Genomic DNA, 8233 nt, shown 5'->3' with positions numbered 1-8233 from the left:
CTCTCATTACTTACTTTTTAAACCCAGTTCTTTGCATTTCAACCCCTCATGCTGAAGCACCTCACGCAGGATTTCCGGCCTCTGGGGGCTTTCTATAGAGAAGGCCTCTCGATAGCGTGCACAGAGCCTTGAACAGAGAGGTTGTCCTTCTGGCTGCCGTATCAGGCGCTATGTCTCCATGGTGCCTGGGGGGTGATAAAGCCATCTTCAGCGAGGGCTGAACTGAACCAGTGATGGACAGATTGCTCAAGTAAAAGAGAGAAAGGCATGGAGAAGGCAGCACACAGCAATATTCCCAGCAAAATCAGACAAGGAATTTGCAAAGTCTGCTAATTAGGGAAAAAAGAAGCCCTCTATCACAATCAATAAATATGTAAAGGTTGTACAGAAAGCGTTTGAGGAACAAAAATGCATATGTGAAAAACTCTCATTGGAAAAAAAAAAGAGTGTGAATCAAAGAAACAAAACAATGTAACTCAGATATTGTGGAGAAGCACAGTGTAGGCCCAGAGAGGATGTGGATCTGGAAGACTGGCCCTCTAGCAGACACTGAGAGCACACCAGCCTGCAGAGCCCCAAAGATTGGAATGCAGTGTGTGCCTTGGGGTTGTGTTACCTACAGCTGGGTTTGCTCCAGATTAAGTACATGCAGGTCTCACTGCAGAGTGTGGGTGCAGTTATTCTCAAGAGTATTGGCCTTTTCATAGATTGCTGGGTTAAAAAAACAAAATAAACAAACAACAGTTCAGAAATTGTTATCTGAAACACTTGGCTGGACCCCACGCACAGGAAGCTCAGGTGCTTAGGGGCTGGCACAGCCCTGAAGAAATGCTGGCTCTGCCATGTCTCTCCTTGTGATGCTCCCCATGCCTCATGGTCACCTAAACCCTTCCTTTCCTCTGATTCTGTTGTACCCATTCACTTAAGGGTCCGAATCGTCTGTGATGTTTTGGAAAATATCGTTCCTTCTCCTGGCCAGGTTTCTGGCTTTGTTAGGCCAGTCATAAACAGCACGGTCATAAGCAACACATCCATTGCAAACCTGCTTCTCCTCCCTATTGTCTGCAAGCCCCAGTTAAATGTTAGTACCAATATTAATTCATTTTCAATATTGTTTTCTTAAATTACATTACTATTTCTTAAAAATAACCTTTGTCTCCCTTCTGTTGCCTACTCTTGGGTAAAAGGGTTAGTCATAAAACTTGCTCCTGTAATGCCTCCTTTAAATGTCATTTTGAGCAGTTTTTATTTGGGGCATCAAATTAAAGTGATTCGTGTATTTGTTTTCTCTTTTTCTCCCTGCATGCTCAGCACTTTTCCTCACCGCAGGGTAAGGTCCCCAGGAACACCCTTGTACACGCTCATTGTCATGAGGGTTGAGTTGGGCCATCATAGCCAGAGTGACCTGTGGAAATGCTGAGTTCCTCCTCCAGAAGTGTCAGTGCAGGCAGCTAGTGTGAGCACACAGCCTTCTGCGGATGCTGGAGGGAGCAGCCAGCCAGAGAACTGAGCTTTTCCAAGGAACCAGGGAGGGGAGGCAGCAGCTGTGACGGATCTGAAGTGGCCCTTGACACATGGGCTTATTAAATTAAAGTTATTGGCACAGTAATGTGAGCGAGAATCATGCACTGAATGTGAATCCAGGATTCACATCCTGATTTGTGCATGCATCCAGCCCTGCCTTTCCAAGGTGACACTTCTATTACTCCGCTGAACTCTGCTCCTCTGTGATAATAACGGGGTACCCTTGGCTTGCACACTTGAGATGTGTCTTGTTCCCGGCACTGGATGCCTGAGGACATTGCCTTTCTTTGCTTGTGTCCCCGTTTGTATTTTAAAATGTGCTAGAATGCAATCCCCTCACCTCCCTCAGAGTAGTAGTTAATATTTCATATGGATTCTGAAAAGTTACATCTACAGTTCTGTCAGAAGTGAGATGCTGAAGGTCTACAGACTTTATAGTGCAGGTAATCAAAGACCCCGTGAAGACATTGGGAGGTCAGTGAACAACACAGTCAACCTACAGTGCCTGGAGTCAAACTTTTCAGATAAGTCTCTACCCTGTACCATTTCATGATGACAAACAAGGCCCAGCCACCCTATCCGTGGGACACTGGCAGGTTCTTGTCAATCAGGCCTCAGAACCATCTTTTAATGTTTTCCTGCCACCTAGGGTGATGCTACCTCTGAGCTTATACCCAGATGCTGCCCCCAAGAGTGTGGACTGAAAAGACACTGCCAGAATCTGGATTCAGACACTTCCACACCGTGGAGTGCTAAAGGGCACAACAGCAGGGCCCTGAGCTGCCTCCTGGTTGTCACATTCATGCACGTGGTTGTCCTGTGCCACAAATGCCCTTCCAGCCTGGCCCTCCAGCCCTGGGTCTGTCTGGGGACCACCTCTTTTGGCTTCAACATCCATCTCAAAGGTCACCTCTTCTCTTAGCTTTGCTTCAGAAATCACTGTTTTCTCTGCCTGCCATCAGTGTGGGACTCCTCTCTCTTGCCTTATGTTTCCAAGTTGGCTGCTTCCTCAAGGACTGTGAGTTTCTGCAGGACCTGGTGAGTAGAGCTTCCAATGGCCTCCTCCTCATCCCATTGGTGAGGGAGGAAGTCCTGCTCCAGGCTTATGAAGATGGCCAAACACACACCAGCACGGGGCAGATGCAGCTGGCAGTGGTATGTTAGTCACATCCACTCACATTCCCAGGATGGAAGACACCGTGCGTCATGTGGCCCCACAGAGTCACATTCAGGAACTGAGTATCCACCCAGGGGCTGGGGCAGGCTGGCTGTGTAGTAACAAGAGGGTGGGATGACCCTGGTTCCAGAAGGAAGATGCAATTTGCCTGTTTGCATCATTTCAGGGGCTGGGGGTTGTGGAAGGCCACTGCTCAGGGATCAGCTGACATTGCACCCGATTCCTTGATTCCAAGCAACAGGGCGGCTTGGCCAGGGGACATTGTTCATGGGAGCAGATTGGGCAATATCTATGGCTATGCCATTCCAGACTCTCCTAACTTTACCAGCGCATTAGTACCCCAGTAAGTGCCAGGGAAGGGCTGGTGGTTAGTGTGGCTACCCTTGTAAGTGCCAGGGAAGGGCTGGTGGTTAGCGTGGCTACCCTTGTCAGGCTACTTGCATGGCTAACATTCTACATAGGAAGTGTGCGAAGCTCAGAATTTTTGTATAATTTGTTTTGCCCTCACTTGTCATGCTCCTTCAAATTATAGCAAAAAGTTTAGGAAGATCTCATCTTTGGCATACTGAGGAATCTAAGATCAGTGAGAACTCCCTCTGGTGTGTGGCAGGCCAAGTATTTTAGAGAGGGACGGATGTCCACATATCAACAGCTGGTTTTGTTCATCCTCTATTAGTGTTCTGGATAGTCCTGCATTTTCAAAGTAGTCACAAAAAATAAAACTTCAACTAGTTCTAATCATCTATTAAACATGTCCCGGGGCATTTTCTGGCAGAGTTGAGTGCCGAGTCCATCTGGAGGGGCAACACGGGGCAGGTATGTCTGGGGCTGCAGGGCTCAGCTGGCTCATGTCTATTTGGAGGCCATCCCTGGCTCTGTCACCTTTTAGCTTTCCGACCTTGGACAGGGGACATAACTTGCCTCAGTGTCTCTACCTGTAAAATGGGAGTGATCCTAATAAAACCTACTTCATAGAGTGACTCTGAGAATAAAATGTGAAAACACAAAGAAAGCGTTTAACATAGGGCCTGCCTGTGCTGTCGGCAGCCACAGAGGCTGCTGTCTCTGTGTGTGTAGTGGGTGAATGGTGTACTCCAACAATTCTTGTACACTGGGAACCTCGGAGCATTGCCTGACTTAGAAATATGGTCTTTGCAGATGGAATTAAGGTAAGAATTGAGATGAGATTATACTGGATGAGGGTGGGCCTAAATCCAATGAGAATATCCTCATAAGAGACAGATCTGGACACAGAGAGACACAGGAAAAAAGAGGAGAAGGCCAGGTCAGAAGGGAATGGAGGGATGCAGCCAGTTGCCGAATGCGTACAGGGATCAGAAGCCGGGAGAGGCAAGGCAATTGTCTCCTCCGGAGCCTTCAGAGGGAGCACGGCCCCATGGACACATTGATTTCAGAATTCTGCCCTCCAGCACTCCAGCCTTTCTGTTGCTTGGAGCTATCAATTTCATTTTAAGTTTTCAGGCAGCCCTGGGAACCTAGCAGAGCATAAGACAATATAAAGTACTTAGGGTGCAAAGCAAGGGCCGGGCACTCCCAGGAAAATTGTTCTAGAAAGCAGCGCTAGTCGGTGATCGTAACCCTTCATCCAACAAAGGTTTATTAAGTGCCCTCCCCCATGCCAGGCACCACTGTGTTAACGAATAAAACCAGCTGATGTATTGGCCTCGAGAGCGCCCGGCCTTGCACCCCAGTTGCCAAGCAGTTTGCACACCTCACTGATGCCGGAAGGGCATGGCCTGGAGGGTGGTCTGCTTCCTGGGCACAGGTCCTGGTTTCTGGAGTCAGCCCCGCAGGTGGGTGCTACATGAGTCGCAGCCCCTCTGACCTCAGCCGGCCCCTTGCGGGGGCACCCCTGGTGCACCTGCCACGGTCCCCCATGTGCTGGGCTGAGTCCTTCCCCTTCCTGTCTCTCACTCCCTCTGCCCCAAGGAGGTGCTCCTGCACTGGCACTTGCAGGCCTCAGATAAGAAGAGGAGGATGTCCCTGTGGGCTCCTGCGGGAGCTGCTGCTCCCGTCGGGGTTGTTGCCTCCTGTCCATGAGCCATCTCCACCCGCAGACGGGGATGGGCTGATGGTCGGGGCAGCTGCACACCCCGCCAGTGTCAGCACAAAAAGTACCAACGAGACTTCTAAAGGGTCCCGTGATTCTCCAAATACTTGATGAAAAGGCGTAATTTTTTTTTCTTCCAAAACCACAGCTGTCATTTTTGTTAAATGACAAGACGTCTTCATTCTTTACATCTGATAAAAACAAATAATGCTAAGGAAGAATTTACACTGAAGCATATCAGAACGGGAGACCGGACTTCGAGGACATTTCACAAACACCGGGACCGTGGGTTCATTGGACCTATGTTAGAGTTCTATCCCCTCGAAGTCTACACTCCCCAGCCCTGTCCATAAAAGAGGCCTCGACCTGGGAAGTGGACCAGGGCCTGTGTTTGTGGAGATTCCTGGCAACCCCACGTCTATTTCACAGCCATGGTCCTTGGCTGCCCTCTTCTGGTCGGGTCTGGAACAGCTTGGCTGAGAGGCCAATTTCCTGTCCCTCTGCATTGGGTGTTGGGTGTCTGAAAGCTAGCCTCCAAGTTAGGGTGAACAACTGTCCTGGTCTACCTGGGACCGAGTTGGGGACTTCCTGGGGTGCAGGACCTTCAGTACTAAAATCAGGCCAGTGTCAGACAGATTTAATTCATCCTTCTAGGATGAATAAATTCTTCCTAGGACCTCATGGGCCTACGTCAGAGGAGCAGGGGGCTTGGAAATGAGCCTCAGTGTAGTGCATTGCTGTGTGGCTGCTGCTGGGGATTGTCGGTGCACAGTCGACTTTCCTCTCTGCTGTTATCCTCTATTAGAAAGTGTTAGCATCCATGTTTTGTTTGCTCTGGGCCAGGGCTTTATATTGGTTCTTTAGGTTAATTTGAAGGACTCCTATTAGCAGGTGCTGTCCATAACCTGGACCCAGCCCACCTGCTTGAGCTCTGCATTCTAGGAGGCCAGGCTGGTACAGTCCATCCTCCCGATGCAGTGTTTGCTCCCCAGGGAGCTCACCCTCCCAGCCGGCCCTGTCACCCTCAGGAGGGCCCCAGCTGCAGCCCACTCCTCAGCCCAGGCGACAATCTGTCGATGTGTCGGCCTCGTGCAAGGTTACGTGTCCATTGAGCGCAGGACTGTGTGGCATCCTCATACCTGACGCAGTGACCATCTCAGGGAGAAGCCCAACCTCCCAGCCCGGTCACCACCCAAAGCCAAGAGCAGGCCACCTCAGTTGCACCAACCTCTTCTGTAATAGCAGAAGTGCAGCTGTGGCCCTGGCTCCAGCAGCCCCACCTGATTTTAGAGGTGGGGCAGCTTCCAGCTGCGGGGGCTGGTTCCCTGTCAGTGACTGGGTCCTGGGAGGCCTGGAGACTCAAGCTTCCCCTGACTGCAAGGAGCTTGGCCAGAGGCCCTCTCTCCCCGCCTGGTCTCCCAAGGACCTTGCCTGAGACTGCTGCGAGGGTGGCTTAGGCGGAGACACACCTGGGATGTGACAAACTGTGACTCCTTAGGGCCCCATCACGCCCAGGGCCAACCGGACCACTTCCCTTCAGAGTACAGAGGCTGAGCACCCCCACTTCCACCTGCTGTTTGCATGGGGCCACCTCTACCTGCCAGTTGTCATCCCTAGCCCATCAAGAAATATGCCACTGTCTAAATAAACAGGGCTGATTCTTGACCCTTTCTTTCAACCCTTGCCAGAAAAGGAAAAAAGAAGTTCACTTAATAATCATATTGAAACTTGAGATGGGATAAATCACTTTTCTAGCAATTCAAATTTTCAGTCGGTCAAAACGTGCGTGGTGCAGCACCTAGTTTATGTTTCACAGGCAACCCATCGCCTTTGGTTTGGAATCAATTGAGAGCTGATGGTTAAAACGAAAACAGGACTCCTCATGGCCAGCCAAGTTCCAGGGGTGGGGACCCTGGCACTTCCCCAGGGAGAAGTAGGAGATGGGGGAAAGGAAAATCACAGCAGGTCATTCTCTACTGAGTGGAGTGGAGACCAGGAGGGGGATTAACCTTTTCATCTGCTCGCCCAGTTGGCTGTGTGCATGCTTTTGAGGGTGAAAGCAAATGAAGGTCTACAGTCCTCCTGTTATCAGGTCTTTGTGAGAAGGAGCTCGGGGAAGCCCCGGGCTGAGAAAGGTTGGGTGGACGTTTCATTGCATAGAACAAGGTACCAGGAATGAAGCCAAAGGCTTTGTGGGTCGCCGGTTCTGATCCCCCATGGAGGACAGAAACCTCTTTAGCCAAGAATTCTTCATCGTGATGCTATAACAACCTGAAAGAAGCGTTTCCTGGGCATATTAATAGCATCAATAATTGCAGCAAGGCAGGGTGGGGGAGGGTTTCTGGCCATTTCTTCTAAAGTAAGACAATAATTTCAAAGCTTCTTTTTCAAATAGAACCTTTGTTATTAAAAAAGAAAAAGAGCCAGCAAATATTTACAAGTGTGAAGTTAAAAATTGAAAAAAAAAAAAGTACCCATCCCTGAATGTGAACCGCTGATCTTAGGTAAACAGGTCAAGGCTGTGGGCAGTTGCCGGGAGACTGGCCTCAGGCATCAGTCTCCGCCAGCTCCTCACAGCAGGGCACCCTGGAACCTGCACATGCACAGATATTCTAAAACAGAGCAAGAAAAAAAAGAACAAAAATTTCAGTCAGTTAATACAAACAGCAAACACAGCAAACTTCGACTAAGGGGAGACGGGAACCAATATTTATAAAAATGACTGGCTCCCAGGCAACGGCAGTTGCTAAAGGCCTACAGTTTTCCCATTCAAGTCCTAAACAAAATTACAAATTGTCAAAGTTACTTTTTATGGCAAGTAAAACAATTTTTAAAAAGCACAAGTTACAAATGGACACTATGCACAAATACATCTTGAATTGTTGCATGTGTGGTCCAGCATGGGAATATAGATACCTCTAAGTGTATAACGTATGCATCCCATAATAGAAAACTGAGATGTCCCATGTACACTAACTTGGCACATAACTGAAGTTTATTTTTCTTTCAAGGCGGTGAAGTTTAAGCATTTTTATTATGTAAGGAAATCATTATGTAAATGCCTTTCATATCCTTCCCAGTTTCCTTAAACGCTGCATGGCAAGCCTCATTTCATGCCATTTGAAAATTCAAAGTTGTGATCTTGGGCCCGTGAGTGTCTCCTGCACTGTGGTGGTGGGAAGGATGCCCAGGGGTGTGAGCTAAGCTGGGGGCTTTGCTGGCCACTGGAATTGCAGCATGCCACTGGCCTCTCTGTCACGATCCTCCCACTGAGTGACCGTTCATTGCAGAGAAGTGCCTGGGTGCTGGATTCAGAGACTGATGTGGGTTTGAATCCCAGTAGAGTCATTATTAATTCCTGTTCCACAGAGCCCTGGAGTGCTGGACAGTGATGCGGCGGGGGTGCTGGCACCTTGTCGTTAATGCCAAGGCCGACTTTGGTAAGAAGCTGCCTCTGTGCC

At 49.2% G+C, this 8233-nt stretch overlaps 1 annotated feature.

The window, feature by feature from the left end:
* Positions 5282 to 5351: an enhancer, noted in NCBI's record as "active region_22316". NCBI's record gives its function as "activates an Ori minimal core promoter by ATAC-STARR-seq in GM12878 lymphoblastoid cells {active_cell/tissue: GM12878}" and the evidence as "EXISTENCE:reporter gene assay evidence [ECO:0000049][PMID:35858748]".

This window comes from Homo sapiens, chromosome 5 (genome assembly GCF_000001405.40).
Source record: "Homo sapiens chromosome 5, GRCh38.p14 Primary Assembly".
In the NCBI taxonomy this organism is placed as follows: domain Eukaryota; kingdom Metazoa; phylum Chordata; class Mammalia; order Primates; family Hominidae; genus Homo; species Homo sapiens.
Note: the sequence above shows the minus strand (reverse complement) of the source record. Positions and strands in the feature narration are given on the sequence as shown.